The following is a 17267-nucleotide window of genomic DNA, read 5'->3' on the forward strand; positions in this document are numbered from 1 at the left end:
CTGGTCAACATGGTGAAACCCTGTCTCTACTAAAAAACACAAAAATTAGCCAGGTATGGTGGCAAGCGCCTGCAGTCCCAGCTACTTGGGAGGCTGAGGCGTGAGAATCACTTGAACCCAGGAGGCAGAGGTTGCAGTGAGCTGAGATTGCACCACTGCATTCCAACCTGGGCGATAGAGGGAGACTCAGTCTCAAAAAAAAAAGAAAAGAAAAGAAAACACAAGACCCACAAGTCAGAGTGAAAGACCGTTTATCACTCATGGCTAAAGCAGCAACAAAAGCAATGTCTTTTTGCTGTGAGTCTCAAAGCCCCCAAATTCATAGGGCAGCACTGTGAGAGGATGTTACCTGCGCATGCAGTGGGGAATGCTACAGGAGAGAAAACCCTGAAATAAAAACAGAGACAGAGATAGACATTTATTCTAGAGTGTAAGCAAATCTTCACCAGGGAGAGAGAGGGAGAGTTTACTATCCTGGAATGTCCTCAGGGAGGACAGCGTTCTCTACCTTTATTATACCAGTCAGGAATATTCCTTCTGACCTTAAAGTAAACACTATCTCTTGCATTCAGGGATGTTTGTCATGCAAACCCCTTTGCTCAGAAGATCCAGACCATGCAAAAACATGAGACATTCATAGAGAATTCTCTTCCAACACAGATTTTCCCAGGTTTCTGTTAGCTTCAGATATCTCTCAGTCTGTACTCACTGCTTCTGTTGTCTTACTTCCTATCAACTCCTTGCACTTCTGCTCTGTCAATCTGAAAACTATTCTCTGCAAGGTACCAGTGACATACCAGTCACTCAATTAAATGGTCTTTTCTTAATCATTTCTGACGTTTTGCAGAATTTTAACAACGGCTCTACTTTCTTGCTTTTAACTCTAAACTACTCTGCTGTTTTCTATGACTAGTCTGATTCTTATGTTTCTCTCCTCTGCCCATCTCCCTTTTCTTTACTCTTGTGCTTTCTAATTGTGACTATTAAATGTGAACATATCACAGGTTGACTCTCATTCTACACTTTTTCCCTTAAGTGTATTCTACTGAGTTTCAGCTGTCACCTCTATAGGTGACTGTAATTTCCTTCTTGCATTCCAAAACTCACCTATTATCTTTATTTCTGCCTAGATGTAATACATTTTAAATATAACAATACATTTCGTGACCTGGCTTTTAAGTTTTTTGTCAGTGGTGCCCTCATTCTATCAATTGTTTAGATTCAAAACCTGAGAATATAGTTTAGTCAGCTCAAGTTCAACAGTCTTTTAACTGGAATTCTTTGCCCCACCGTAATGCATTTTCTACACTGTCACTTAAGAAATCATTCAAACGTAGAATCATATTACAGAGTTTATAGCCAGCCCAATTCTTCAGCATTTTATACAAAGCCTCCATGATTTGATGACTGCTTGCCTCCAGCTTCAACTTCTGCTGTTTCCCACACTATCCCACACACCACCACCACACGAAAACACTTTCTTTGACCTTAATTCACTGCTCATTTATTCAAACACTGTCTGAAAACCTACTGTGAACTAGGCATTATGGTAGGTATTGGGCTCTATATCTGAGTAAGTTATGGTCTTTCTTAAGAGAGAAATAAATATGTAAATAAATGATATAGATTATGATTAATAATGCAAGGATAAAAAGAGTTTTCTCTCTCCCTGAGACACTTAACCTAACAATATAAAGAATGACATTCTAGTAATGTCTGGAAGGATGAGTTGGAATTTGTTATCTGGCCATAAAACATAGTCTAAGCAAAGTAAAAATATGTACAAAGGCACAGAGATATAAAATTGAACCACCTATTTGAAGAGTTGTAAATAATTCAGAATGACCAGGCCAAGTGCAGTGGCTCATGCCTATAATCCCAGTACTTTGGGAGGCTGAGGCTGGCAGATCATTTGAGGTCAGGAGCTCGAGACCAGCCTGGCCAGCATGGTGAAACCCTTTTCTACTAAAAATACAAAAATTAACTGGGCATGGTGGCACACGCCTGTAGTTCCAGCTACTCGAGAGGCTGAGGCAGGAGAATTGCTTGAACCATGGAGGTGGATGTTGCAGTGAGCCAAGATCGTGCCAGTGCACTCCAGCCTGGGTAACAGAGTGAGACTCCTTCAATAAAAAGTAAAATGAAATAATAATTCAGAATAACTAAACCGTAAGTTTGAAGGTAGGCCTAAAAGGATACAAGGATGGGAAGGTGGAGCTAGGCAATAAAAAACCTTTTATGTATTAAAGGAGTGTGGACATTTTTCTGGAATAGTGTGATCAGATGTACTTTTTTAAAAGAAGTTCCTCCATCATAATAATTTATTCAGGTAAGAATCATTGGTAGATATTATGAACTAGTCAAGGAAATTTGAAGAGTAAAAGATATTTACATCATCTCTAAATATTGCTGTATGTGATACTCTTTAAATACAATGGGAAAACAGTAACTAAATGGTGGAAAAGCACTATAAATACCACTTTAACCAGTTGATTAAAGTTTTTTATTGTGTTTTGTTTCTGAGACAGAATTTTGCTCTTGTTGCCCAGGCTGGAGAGCAGTGATGCAATCTTGGCTCACTGCACCCTCTGCCTCCCGAGTTCAGGCAATTCTCTGGCCTCAGCCTCCTGAGTAGCTGGGACTACAGGTGCATGCCACCACTCCTGGCTGCTTTTTTTTTATTTAATAGAGACAGGGTTTCACCATGTTGGCCAGGCTGGTCTCGAACTCCTAACCTCAGGTGATCCACCTGCCTCAGCCTCCCAAAGTGCTGGGATTACAGGCATGAGCCACCGCTTCTGGCCCAATTGATTAAAGTTAACATCACAGTAATTGGACAAATCAACATCATTAACCTCCTGATATAATGCATTGAAGAGAATGCAACATCATCACTTCTGTGGTAATCCTACCAAAATGCATATCCAAAATCTAATCATAAGGAAACACTATAAGATCACTGGTCTCTATATTCTTCAAAATTGTGAATATCATGAAAGACAAAGGAAAGAAGTGAAGATTAAAAGAGACTAAATACACATGAAATATGTACCTAATGCATAATCCTGGATTTTTTTTCATAAAATACTTTATTGGAATGATTGGAAAAATATGAATAAGGTCTGAAAATTACATGATAGTATACATATTCAGTTTTATGATTTTTGTAATTATACTGTGGTTACATAGGAGAATTTTCATCTTTAAAGAAGTATACATTGAAGTACTTAGGGCAAAGTAGTGTCAAACAACTTTCTCTCAAATGATTTTTTGAAAATCATATATAGAACATTGATGTTCATAGCGGCAGCATTCACAATAGCCAAAAGGTAGAGGCTACCTAAGTGTCCATTGATTGATGAATGGATAAGCAAAATGTGGTACACACATGCAATGGAATATTATTCAGCCTTAGAAAGAAAGGACATTCTGACACATGCTACAGTGTAAATAAACCTTGAAGACATTATGCTAAATGAAAGTCACAAAAGGACAAATATTGTATGAATCTACTTATATGAGGTACATATAGTAGTTAAATTCATAAGGACAGAAAGTAGAGAGATGGCTGCCAGAGCCTGGAGGAGGAGGGAATGGGGAGTTGTTGTTTAATGAATGGGTATAGAGTTTCAGTTTGGGAAGATGAAAAGATTCAGGAGATGGATAAAGGTGATGGTTGCACAACATTGTGAATGTACTTAATGCCACTGAACCATACACTAAAAAATGGTTAAATTTTATGTTCTATCTATGTTACCACAATTTTTAAAAATTAAATAAATCATGTATGGGGGGAATTTTAAAAAGTGATCAAATGAACAGTTATCATCTGAAGAGGGTGGATGGAATTAAGAATGAAGGTAATCAATTAAAAGGCTGCTGTAATAATCCACTGTGATAGTGGAGATGGCAAAAGTGGATGCATCTATGACTTAATATAAGTAGTACAGTTTAGAGACTAACAGTATACTATTTTAGACTCCTTCATTACATTCAGCCTCTAGTAGATGGTAGTACTGTTACCAAAATACAGTCAGGCACCGCATAACAACGTTTCAGTCAATAACTCACCCCACATACAACAGTGGTCCCATAAGATTATAATGAAGCTGAAATATTCCTATAACCTAGTGATGTTGCAGCCATTTTAACATCATAGCCATTGTAACGTCATAGCACAATGCATTACTCACATGTTTATGGTGATGCTAGTGTAAACAAAGCTGTGCTGCCAGGGGTATAAAAGTGTAGCACATACAATTATGTACAGTATATAACACTGGATAATAAATGATTATGTTACTGGTTTATGTATTTACTATTATTTTAGAATGGCTTTCTACTTATTAAAAAAAAGTTAACTGTAATACAGCCTCACGTAGGTCCTTCAGGAAGTATTCCAGAAGAAGGCACTGTTATCATAGGAGATGACAGCTCCGTGCATGTTATTGCATCTAAACACCTTCCAGTGGCACAAGATGTGGAGTTAGAAGACAGTGATACAGATGATCCTGACCCTGTGTAGGCCTAAGCTAATGGGTGTATTTATGTCTTAGCTTTTAAGAAAAAAGTTCAAAAAGTAAAAAATAAAAATGAAAACATTTTACAATAGGAAAAAAAAAGCTTATTGAATAAGGATATGAAGAAAGAAAATATTTTTGTACAGCTGTATGACGTATTTGTGTTTTAAGCCAAGGGTCAGTACAAGAGTCAAAAACTTAAAAAGTGTATAAATTTAAAAAGTTATAGTAAGCTGAGGTTAATTTATTGTTCATTTTTAAAAATAAATTTAGTGTAGCATAAGTGTACAATGTTTATAAAGTCTACAGTAGTGTACAGTAATGTCCTAGGCCTACACATTCACTTACCACTAACTCACTGACTCACCCAGAGCAACTTCCAGCCCTGTAAGCTGCATTCATATTAAGTGCCCTATACAAGTGCACCATTTTTTATCTTGTATACCACATTTTTACTGTATGTTTTCTATGTTTAGATACACAAATACTTACCATCGTGTTATACTTGCACATAGCATTTGGTACAGCAGTAACATGCTGTACAGGTTTGTAGCCTAGGAGCATAGGCTATATACCATATGGCCTAGGTATGTAGTAGGCTATACCATCTAGGTTTGTGTAAATATACTCTGTAATGTTCACACACTGACACATTGTGCTTTTTTTGTTGTTTGTTTTGTTTTTTATTATACTTAAAGTTCTAGGATACATGTGTACAATGTGCAGGTTTGTTACATAGGTATACATGTGCCATGTTGTTTGCTGCACCCATCAACTGGACATTTACATTAGCTATTTCTCCTAATGCTACCCCTCCCCCAGCCCCCCACCCCCTTATAGGCCCCAGTGTGTGATGTTCCCCACCCTGTGTCCATGTGTTCTCATTGTTCAACTCCCACCTATACATGAGAACATGCGGTATTTGGTTTTCGGTCCTTGTGATAGTCTGCTGAGAATGATGTTTTCCAGCTTCACCCATGTCCCTGCAAAGGACAGGAACTCATTCTTTTTTATGGCTGTGTAGTATTCCATATTGCATATGTGCCACATTTTCTTAATCCAGTCTATCATTGATAGACATTTGGGTTGCTTCCAAGTCTTTACTATTGTGAATAGTGCTGCAGTAAACATACATGTGCATTGTCTTTATAGTAGCATGGTTTATAATCCTTTGGGTATACACCCAGTAATGGGATCGCTGGGTCAAGTAGTATTTCTAGTTCCAGATCCTTGAGGAATCGCCACACTGTCTTCCACAATGGTTGAACTAATTTACACTCCCAACAGTGTAAAAGCATTCCTATTTCTCCACATCCTCTCCAGCATCTGTTGTTTCCTGACTTTTTAATGATCACCATTCTAACTGGTGTGAAATGGTGTCTTATTGTGGTTTTGATTTGTGTCTCTCTAATGAGCAGTGATGATGAGTATTTTTTCATGTGTCTGTTGGCTGCATAAATGTCTTTTCAGAAGTGTCTGTTCATATCCTTCGCCCACTTTTTGATGGTGTTGTTTGTTTTTTTCTTGTAAATTTGTTTAAGTTCTTTGTAGATTCTGGATATTAGCCCTTTGTCAGATGGGTAGATTACAAAAATGTTCTCCCATTATGTAGGTCGCCTGTTCACTCTGATGACAGTTTCTTTTGGTATGCAGAAGCTCTTTATTTAATTAGATCCCATTTGTATATTTTGGCTTTTGTTGCCATTGCTTTTGGTGTTTTAGTTATGAAGTCTTTGCCCATGCCTACGTCCTGAATGGTATTGCCTAGGTTTTCTTCTAGGGTTTTTATGGCTTTAGGTCTTACATTTAAGTCTTTAATACGCCTTGAATTAATTTTTGTATAAGGTGTAACGAAAGGATCCAGTTTCAGCTTTCTGCATATAGCTAGCCAGTTTTCCCAGCACCATTTATTACATAGGGAATCCTTTTCCCATTGCTTGTTTTTGTCAGGTTTGTCAAAGATCAGATGGTTGTAGATGTGGGGTGTTATTTCTGAGGGCTCTGTTCTGTTCCATTGGTCTATATATCTGTTTTGGTACCAGTACCATGCTGTTTTGGTTACTGTAGCCTTATAGTATAGTTTGAAGTCAGGTACTGTGATGCCTCCAGCTTCGTTCTTTTTGCTGTTTTGCTAGGATTGTCTTGGCTATGGGGGCTCTTTTTTGGTTCCATATGAACTTTAAAGTAGTTTTTCCAATTCTGTGAAGAAAGTCATTGGTAGCTTGATGGGGATAGCAATGAATCTATAAATTACCTTGGGCAGTATGGGCATTTTCATGATACTGCTTCTTCCTATCCATGAGCATGGAATGTTCTTCCATTTGTTTGTGTCCTCTTTTATTTCATTGAGCAGTGGTTTGTAGTTCTCCTTGAAGAGGTCCTTCACATCCCTTGTAAGTTGGATTCTTAGGTATTTTATTCTCTTTGTAACAATTGTGAATGGGAATTCACTCATGATTTGCCTCTCTGTTTGTCTGTTATTGGTGTATAGGAATGCTTGTGATTTTTGCACATTGATTTTGTATCCTGAGACTTTGCTGAAGTTGCTTGTCAGCTTAAGGAGATTTTGGGCTGAGACGATGGGGTTTTCTAAATATACAATCATGTCATCTGCAAACAGGGACAATTTGACTTCCTCTTTTCCAATTGAATACCCTTTATTTCTTTCTCTTGCCTGATTGCCCTGGCCAGAATTTCCAACACTATGTTGAATAGGAGTGGTGAGAGAGAGCATCCTTGTCTTGTACCGATTTTCAAAGGGAGTGCTTCTAGTTTTTGCCCATTCAGTATGATACTGGCTGTGGGTTTGTAATAAATAGCTCTTATTATTTTGAGATATGTTGCATCAATTCCTAGTTTATTGAGAGTTTTTAGCATGAAGGGCTGTTGAATTTAATCGAAGGCCTTTTCTGCATCTATTGAGATTATCATGTGGTTTTTGTCATTGGTTCTGTTTATGTGATGGATTATGTTTATTGATTTGCATATGTTAAACCAGCCTTGCATCCCAGGGATGAAGCCGAGTTGATTGTGGTGGATAAGCTTTTTGATGTGCTGCTGGATTCAGTTTGCCAGTATTTTATTGAGTATTTTCACATCTATGTTTATTAGGGATATTGATCTAAAATTTTCCTTTTTTGTTGTGTCTCTGCCAGGCCTTTGTGTCGGGATGATGCTGGCCCCATAAAATGAGTTAGGGAGGAGTCCCTCTTTTTCTATTGATTGGAATAGTTCAGAAGGAATGGTAGCAGCTCCTCTTTGTACCTCTGGTAGAATTCGGCTGTGAATCCATCTGGTCCTGGACGTTTTTTGGTTAGTAGGCTATTAATTATTGCCTCAATTTCAGAACCTGTTATTGATCTATTCAGAGATTCAACTTCTTCCTGGTTTAGTCTTGGGAGGGTGTATGTGTCCAGGAATTTATCCATTTCTTCTGGATTTTCTAGTTTATTTGCATAGAGGTGTTTATAGTATTCTCTGATGGTAGTTTGTAATTCTGTGGGATCGGCGATGATATCCCCTTTATCATTTTTTGTTGCATCTATTTGATTCTTCTCTCTTTTCTTCTTTATTAGTCTTGCTAGCGGTCTCTCTATTTTGTTGATCTTTCAAAAAACCAGCTCCTGGATTCATTGATTTTTTTGAAGAGTTTTTCATGTCTCTGTCTCCCTCAGTTCTGCTCTGATCTTTGTTGTTTCTTGCCTTCTGCTAGCTTTTGAATTTGTTTGCTCTTGCTTCTCTAGTTCTTTTAATTGTGATGTTAGGGTGTCCATTTTAGATCTTTCCTGCTTTCTCTTGTGGAATTTAGTGCTGTAAATTTCCCTCTACACACTGCTTTAAATGTGTCCCAGAAATTCTGGTACGATGTGTCTTTGTTCTCATTGGTTTCAAAGAACATCTTTATTTCTGCCTTCATTTCATTATTTACCCAGTAGTCATTCAGGAGCAGGTTGTTCAATTTCCATGTAGTTGTGCAGTTCTGAGTGAGTTTCTTAATCCTGAGATTGATTGCCCTGTGGTCTGAGACACAGTTTGTTGTCATTTGTGTTCTTTTACATTTGTTCAGGAGTGTTTCACTTCCAATTATGTGGTCAATTTTAGAATAAGTGTGATGTGGTGCTGAGAAAAAGGTATATTCTGTTGATTTGGGATGGAGAGTTCTGTAGATGTCTATTAGGTCTGCTTGGTGCAGAGCTGAATTCAAGTCCTGGATATCCTTGTTAACCTTCTGTCTCGTTGATCTGGCTAATATTGACAGTGGGGTGTTAAAGTCTCCGATTATTGGGAGTCTAAGTCTCTTTGTAGATCTCTAAGGACTTGCTTTATGAGTCTGGGTGCTTCTGTATTGGGTGCATATATATTTAGGATAGTTAGCTCTTCTTGTTGAATTGATCCCTTTACCATTCAGTAATGGCCTTCTTTGTCTCTTTTGATCTTTGTTGGTTTAAAGTCTGTTTTATCAGAGACTATGATTGCAACCCCTGCTTTTTTTTGCTTTCCATTTGCTTGGTAGATCTTCCTCCATCCCTTTTTTTTGAGTCTATGTGTGTCTCTGCACATGAGATGGGTCTCCTGAATGCAGCACACCAATGGGTCTTGACTCTTTATCCAGTTTGCCAGTCTGTGTCTTTTAACTGGGGGCATTTAGCCCATTTACATTTAAGGTTAATATTGTTATGTGTGAATTTGATCCTGTCATTATGATGTTAGCTGGTTATTTTGCCCGTTAATTGATGCAGTTACTTCATAGCATTGATGATCTGTATAATTTGGCATGTTTTTGCAGTGGCTGGTACCGGTGTTTCTTTCCATGTTTAGTGCTTCCTTCAGGAGCTCTTGTAAGGCAGGCCTGGTGGAGACAAAATCTCTCAGCATTTGCTTGTCTGTAAAGGATTTTATTTCTCCTTCGCTTATGAAGCTTAGTTTGTCTGGATATGAAATTCTGGGTTGAAAATTCTTTTCTTTAAGAATGTTGAATATTGAACCCCACTCTTTTCTGGTTTGTGGGGTTTCTGCCGAGAGATCCCCTGTTAGTCTGATGGGCTTCCCTTCGTGGGTAACCCGACCTTTCTCTCTGGCTGCCCTTAACATTTTTTCCTTCATTTCAACCTTGGTGAATCTGACAATTATGTGTCTTGGGGTTCCTCTTCTTGAGGAGTATCTTTGTGGTGTTCTCTGAATTTCCTGGATTTGAATGTTGGCCTGCCTTGCTAGGTTGTGGAAGTTCTCCTGGATAATATCCTGAAGAGTGTTTTCTAACTTGGTTCCATTCTCCCCATCACTTTCAGGTACAACAATCAAACATAGATTTGGTCTTTTCACATAGTCCCATATTTCTTGGAGGCTTTTTTCATTTCTTTTTACTCTTTTTTCTCTAATCTTGTCTCCTCGCTCTGTTTTATTAATTTATCTTGAATCACTGATATCCTTTCTTCCACTTGATTGAATCGGCTATTGAAGCTTGTGCATGCATCACGAAGTTCTCATGCTATGGTTTTCAGCTCCATCAGGTCATTTAAGGTCTTCTCTACACTGTTTATTCTAGTTAGCCATTCGCCTGACCTTTTTTCAAGGTTTTTTGCTTTCTTGCATTGGGTTAGAACATGCTCCTTTAGCTCGGAGAAGTTTGATTACTGACCTTTTGAAGCCTACTTCTGTCAACTCGTCAAACTCGTTCTCCATCCAGTTTTGTTCCATTGCTGGCAAGGATCTGCTATCCTTTGGAGGAGAAGAGGCAGTCTGGTTTTTGGAATTTTCAGCTTTTGTGTTCTGGTTTCTCCCCATTTTTGTGGTTTTATTTACCTTTGGTCTTTGATGTTGGTGACCTACAGATGGGGTTTTGGTGTGGATGTCCTTTTTGTTGATGTTGATGCTATTCCTTTCTGTTTATTAGTTTTCCTTCTAACAGTCAGGCCTCTCAACTGTAGGTCTGTTGGAGTTTGCTAGAGGTCCACTTCAGAACCTATTTGCCTGGGTATCACCAGGGGAGGCTGCAGAACAGCAAATATTGCTGCTTGGTCCTTCCTCTGGATGCTTCGTCCCAGAGGGGCACCCGCCTGTATGAGGTGTCTGTCGGCCCCTACTGGGAGGTGTCTCCCAGTCAGGCTACACGGGTCAGGGACCCACTTGAGGAGGCAGTCTGTCCGTTCTCAGAGCTCAAACTCCGTGCTGGGAGAATCACTGCTCTCTTCCGAGCTGTTAGACAGGGACATTTAAGTCTGCAGAAGTTGTCTGCTGCCTTTTGTTCAGCTATGCCCTGCCCACAGAGGTGGCGTCTAGCGAGGCGGTAGGCCTTGCTGAGCTGCGGTGGGCTCTGCCCAGTTCGAGCTTCCTGGCTGGTTTGTTTACCTATTCAAGCCTCAACAATGGTGGATGCCCCTCCCCCTGCTGGGCTGCAGTGTTGCAGGTGGATCTCAGACTGCTGCGCTAGCATTGAGCAAGGCTCTGTGGGCGTGGGACCCACCAAGCCAGGCACAGGAGGGAATCTCCTGGTCTGCCAGTTGCTGAGACTGTGGGAAAAGTGCAGTATTTGGACGAGAGTGTACCATTCCTCCAGGTACAGTCTGTCACGGCTTCCCTTGCTTAGGAAAGGGAAATTCCCCAACCCCTTGTGCTTCCCAGGTGAGGCGACACCCTGCCCTGCTTCAGCTCACCCTCCATGGGCTGCACCCACTGTCCAACCAGTCCCAATGAGATGAACCAGGTACCTCAATTGGAAATGCAGAAATCACCTGTCTTCTGCGTCAACCTTGCTAGGTGCTGCAGACTGGAGCTGTTCCTATTTGGCCATCTTGGAAGGAACCCATCTTATATCTCCAAATGGTGCGTTTGTAACAATGCATTTCTCAGAACATATATCTCTGTCATTAAGCGACACGTGGCTGTACAGTAGGTATGAGTAGATGCACAGGCATCTATCTTTGCCTGATGATTCACCTGCCTAACACCAATTTACTCTTCATAAGTTGGCTCAAATATTATGAGAAGTCCTCCCTGACGCTCCAGACAGTTTTTCCCCTTACCTCATACCCTTTCTTGGAGTGAATTAGTCTTTTCTCCTTCTAGATTTTGTGATAGCATATTTTGCATTTATATCACAATGTATCAAAATAGATGGTTTTTCTGTTCTTTCATACTCTGAGCTCCTAGAGAGCAGAAACCGTGGTCATGTTTATGAATCCATAGCACCTTTCATAGAGTGTGATATATAATAGGCACTTGGTAAATGTTTAAATGAAATCAGTGAGTTACCATGTACCTTCACTATTTTTCTTCATAATGTACTTTCTTCTTTCTTTCCAGGTCCCCAAACTTCATACTCTACTTCAATAGTCCTGTAACTGGTCTTTCTACTTTTATTTTGTAGTTCCTCTGTAGTAGCCTGTACACTAATGTCAGATTAGTGAAATTCCATATTTTGGAATAGCTGTATAAAAACTTTCAATATCTTCCCATTATCTAAAGAATAATTTAAAGTTCACCAGTAAGGACTTGAGATCCTTAATACTATGTTCGCAGAATATACCATGTTTATTTCAAATTTGGTTTACCTACTCACCTGACTTTATTCAACAAGTATCTGAGCACCTGCCTTTTGTAAGGCTTTATAAAAGAAGAAAGTTTACTAAATATGATATATCCTCATTATCTTTGTGTTCACTTTTGGTACCTCATTTCGCTTTACAAATTCATTTCATTACTGAAGAAAATAGTCTTTGGAGAATACTCAGCCATATTCATATTTAAGCAAGAAGTTCCATTTTAGAATAAAACATGACTAATATAATGAAGTTTAGGATAGGTGGCAAGCCATTCAGCACAATGTCTGCCTCATAATACAAGTACAGTATATGTTTAAACTGAATTAATTCTGTTTAAATCTTTAAAGATAGAAATGTAGGTTTATGTTGATAACAAAGAAAGTTATTGATTTATTGTTTTAAGCCTTTGGAAACCTGTCTCTTAGTTTATGGTAGCTCAACTGTTAACATTTCAACTTTGCGTGCTATATGTTATTTATAGTGGTAGCACTTTAAAACACAAAATCAGAACATATTTAAGAATTCTATATTACACGTTTTCAAAATTTTTTTTTTATATTCTCTTTATAGGTTATATGTAAAGTCAGATGTGCCACTGAACTTGACAGACACAAGTAAGTTTTATGAGTATCTAAATTTCTATCTAAAAGATCTAAAGCATTAATTCATTAATATTAAGGCTTAGTATCTAAAAGATCTAATTTTTTTTAATAGTAGACTTCTCGTGGTAGAAGGGAGTGGTTGTTGAGGGCACCTTCACAGTTTTATAGAAAACCAAGTTGTTAGATTGGTTCAAAGGAATCAAATTGAGTAGCCCACATTTCTCTCCCTTCAGCCATACAGCTGACTAATTTTTTGTTTTTTTGCTGCTCTGTCCCTGCTTCAAATGTTAGATCTAACTTCATAGGGTCCACTTTTGCCAAAGTTAGATTATGCTGTTTGGAGTGAGAATGTTCCATGAAATAGGTAATATTTCAGTACTGATCAATCTCAATAGCGAGAGTGCTAAGCTGTGGAGTCAGGAGATTGGGGTTTCCAACCCAATTTTCCCACTAACTTGCTGACTGTGCAATTCATGTACCCTCTACTAGTTTCTAAACTACTCTAATTATCTGGATATGTAGGTGATTTCAAGATCCTTTTTGGGTTTCAAACTATGTAATTACTGTTTTTATTATTTAATCTGAGAGAACTTCAAAATACAACCTTTTAAAACTAAAATCTTTTTGCTTTGCATGTACACTAAGCAGTTTTGTTTGCTTGTTACAGATTGCACATTACCTTCAATTTACCTCGTTTAAACCATTTCCAAAGGCAGCTACTTTCTGATTTCCACTATTGAAATGACCCAATATATCAGGAAGCCAGATAAATTTCAGCATCATATGTATTTAATTTGGAAGTATAAATGTGTTTGAACTGGGATTACGTTCGTGCAGATAGTTGTTACTGCTACTTGATACACATAGCAGCCTTAACTGAAGAGTTCTTATGAGGTAGCCTAAATTTTCTTAGGGGGAAGAGATTAAGGAGTTCATGTGCAGAGTTGCTCTTCATGCACAGTAAATATGCAACTTTTTAAGAACATGAGGTATTAATGGGTGCTTGAAGCTCTACATATACTGTCCCTATGTTCTTCTTTAGTCAAGTTTGAAAGCATTTTTTGCTACAATCAGAAGTTCATAAGGAATATTGTTTAAAACATACTTTAACTCTTAAAAATTTTTTTTTCCTTTTTTTTTTTTTTTTATTGATACAGTCTCGCAGTCTCACCCAGGCTGGAGTGCAGTGGCGCTGTCTTGGCTCACTGCAACCTCCATCTCCTAGATTCAAGTGATTCTTGTGCCTCAGCCTCCTGAATAGCTGGGACTACAGGCGTGTGCCGCCATACCCAGCTAATTTTTGTATTTTTAGTAGAGATGAGGTTTCTCCATGTTGGCCAGGCTGGTCTCGAACTCCTGGCCTCAAGTGATCTGCCTGCCTCGGCCTCCCAAAGTTCTGAGATTACAGGCATGAGCCGCCATGCCTGGCCTAACTCTTAAAATTAATATTTTAATCAATTAAAATTTAATCAATATGAATTTAGATACAGTATATTAATTTTCAGGCACATTGTAAAAGCCTGATAATTCTTGGATTGGAAAGGTTAATGTAAATATGCTTAATAGTTATAAAAATGAAAAATTTGGGATTACTTGAAATAGTGTTAAGATAGTCCTATCTTATTCCTGGTGGAGAAACTGAGTTCAAGTCAACCTGAGACTATTTCTGAATAAATGCTTAAAAATCTATGCCATTCATAAACATTTCAAACTGAAGGAATTCTTGTACCTAACATAACACACTAATGCAGAATTAAATTTGATTTCTTATTAGTTATATAACCATCTAATATACTTTTTTTCTTTCAGAATTCTACTGCATTTGGGCTTTATAATGGCAAGCCTGCTCTTTTTAGTGGTGAACTTGACTTGCGCAATGCTAGTTCATGGAGATGTCCCAGAAAATCAGTTGAAGTGGACTGTGTTTGTTCGAGCATTAATTAATGATAGCCTGTTTATTCTTTGTGCCATCTCTTTAGTGTGTTACATATGCAAAATTACAAAAATGTCATCAGCTAATGTCTACCTCGAATCAAAGGTAAGAATATTTCTTAAATTGGCACTTGAAAATCTAATTTCAAATTCTTACCCTACTAATCATATTTTAATGGAAAGTTTATATTGCTATTTTATTTTATTTTATTTTATTTTATTTGAGACAGGGTCTCGCCATATTAGTCAGGCTAGAGTGCAATGGCTATTCACAGATGCAATCATTGTGCAGTACAGCCTTGAGCTTTTGGGCTCAAGTGATCCTCTGCCTCAACCTCCCAGGTAGCTGGGACTACAGGCATATTGCTTTTTTAAAAAATATCCTGAATGACAGTTACACTTTGAGCGTGAAAGAATAATCACTAGAAATTAAAAGTTATTCAGTATTTGGTCCTTACTAAACAATGGTTTAAAGAAAAGAAGAAAGAATATACTAAGCATGTTGTATTTTCTGTGATTCTGCATTGGAGGCTAATCACATGAAATAAATCAGAATATATATGAATGGATCAAAAATAGTCTATAATATAAAATCATGCTAGCATCTTAAGATTTTGCACAATAAGGGTGGCAGGGTTAGCAATGTTAAGATGTCATATAGGTAAAAGTGGTTTTTATTTGTATAAAGGTTAGAAAATGTTACTTCACCCAATAATATGAAGGCTGTGTGATATTTGAAACAACTAATTGTGTAGCAAAATTTATAAATGCCTTGCTTCTCCCTTGCCTTATACTTTGGATCAACAAACAGAAGCCAAATAGTAGCCCATTAACAAAGAAACATGGAAGTTTCTACCATTGTTGATTGACCATGTGATTGAGTAGAAAATTGATCATCACAGTTTATGTGTGGCATTGGGTGTGAGGGGGTAGATATGTGGATATTGGGGTATGGGTATGTACATAAATACATTTTTACAATCACTTCCACAGGAGAGCTTGTCTTCTTGCTTTAATTTGACATCATTGCCTATTCACTAATAATAAGTTGAGATAGTATCTTAGTTAAAATAGTCCTCTGAAATATTTTTAGGCTTCTATATTTTCGTTATCCTTAATATAGTCCTAGTAAAGTAAGGTACTATAATTAAATATATGGTAATCAACTTGTCCTTTAAATGTAGGCAGAGATTTTAATTTTACTTTTTAAATATATTTCAGTGGAATGCTGGGGGAGATATTATGTGTGTGTGTGTGTGTGTGTATATATATATAGAGAGAGAGAGAGAGAAGAGAAGAGACAAAGAAAATCAGACTTTCAAACTTATTAATCTTACCTGGAAAATTATTTTATTAAATTTCTAGTCTAGTTTGCTCCTAACATTTAAATATTTTAGCTAATTCAGGCTTTGGTTTGACTGTTAAAAATAATACTGTCACTGTTACAGTCCATAATCTTTTGGTAGGAGCAATGGCATCTTTATTTAGTATAATAACATCACTATAGAATTCATACCTGTTGCTTGTCTAGGGATAAAGCATAAATAGATGTTGAATTTCAAGTGCTTCTTCTCTAGATACCTAGTGTATTTCTAAGTTTGGTTTTTTACTCGCTTTGAAATAGATAATACTCTGAATAAAAGTCACCAATCTGAGAAGAAAATTTCATTTACTAAATCCTCCAGAATTATTAGAACACCATTCCCTTACTATCATATGAAAGGTATTCACTTATTTATTATTATTTAAAGTTTTAAATTTAAAAGCTGTATGGATTCGGAATTATCTAGGAATACTGCAGATATACATGTTCAGACGTGTTCACCTATGAAGGTAGATGACATACTAGATGATTTGTTTAATATTGTAATGTTAAGTAGTTCCCAGTCTTCCTAACTAGATTATAAACTTCTGTATTCAAAGAGCATGTCATCTTGCTTTCATGTTCTTGTATAATCACTAGACTCATTTTTGACTTTTGACTTCTATAACAGTGTACAATAATAGTCATTCCTTTTATTCAATCAACAAGTGTTTATTGAGCATCTACCTCTTTCACTTTCTGGGGTTTTTTTGGTTGTTTCTGTCCCTCTCTCTCTCTCTCCCTCTCAATACCTTTGTTACGCTTTCACTATCAAACTGACCCTGTTTCTTGTCTTTAAGAGCATTTCCTTAAAGTTCAGACTTTGGTCTTCTGTCTTCCTCTTTTCATTCTTTCTTCCTTCCTTTACATGTTCTGTGACAATAAGATCCTCTGTAATTTGTCTCAACCAATCTTACCTTCCTTATTTCCAAATAAAACACAGTATGCCCTCTATCTCTGTATTCTTAGGCTGTTTTATTATCCAGGAACGGCTTTCCTCTCACACATCTCTATCTGATTGTTCATGTCTTATCTAACTTTAAAGACCTCACTTAATCTTTCCCCTTTTTATGAACTCAATTTGATCCCTTCTCCCCCAACTCTAAAATAAAATTTAGAAATAACTCACTATCTGAATTATCTTAAAATTTTATTTATTTCTCTTGGGGCACTTATCAGTTTATACAAAGTGGCATTTGTATGTGCCATCTAATTTTTTTGTATTTTTTAATTGACGTCATATTTAGTTGTACATATTTTTGGGGTACATGTGATATTTTGCTACATGTATACAATATGTAATAATCAA

At 37.3% G+C, this 17267-nt stretch overlaps 1 protein-coding gene across 8 annotated transcripts in view, besides 1 other annotated feature; it reads left to right on the forward strand.

Moving 5' to 3' along the window:
* The window catches only part of GPR137C (G protein-coupled receptor 137C), an 84878-nt gene that overhangs the window by 32805 nt on the left and 34806 nt on the right, over positions 1–17267 (forward strand). For 6 of the 8 annotated variants that reach the window (NR_148417.2, XR_007064006.1, NM_001353361.2 and 3 more), the window contains exons 2-3: positions 12632–12675; positions 14473–14701. Coding sequence is in view for 6 of the 8 variants with exons in the window: in NM_001353361.2 (NP_001340290.1) it covers positions 12632–12675; positions 14473–14701 (273 nt within the window). In the remaining 2 variants the exon portion in view is untranslated. Of the gene's footprint in view, positions 1–7928; positions 11343–12631; positions 12676–14472; positions 14702–16219; positions 16913–17267 lie in introns of those variants that run through there. The other 2 variants (XM_024449541.2, XM_047431279.1) reach the window with 2 other exon arrangements.
* Positions 10327–10828: an enhancer, noted in NCBI's record as "H3K4me1 hESC enhancer chr14:53062685-53063186 (GRCh37/hg19 assembly coordinates)". NCBI's record gives its function as "activates a minimal SCP1, AML or CMV promoter by ChIP-STARR-seq in naive H9 embryonic stem cells {active_cell/tissue: H9 hESC(naive)}" and the evidence as "EXISTENCE:reporter gene assay evidence [ECO:0000049][PMID:30033119]".

This window comes from Homo sapiens, chromosome 14 (assembly GCF_000001405.40).
Source record: "Homo sapiens chromosome 14, GRCh38.p14 Primary Assembly".
Lineage (NCBI taxonomy): Eukaryota > Metazoa > Chordata > Mammalia > Primates > Hominidae > Homo > Homo sapiens.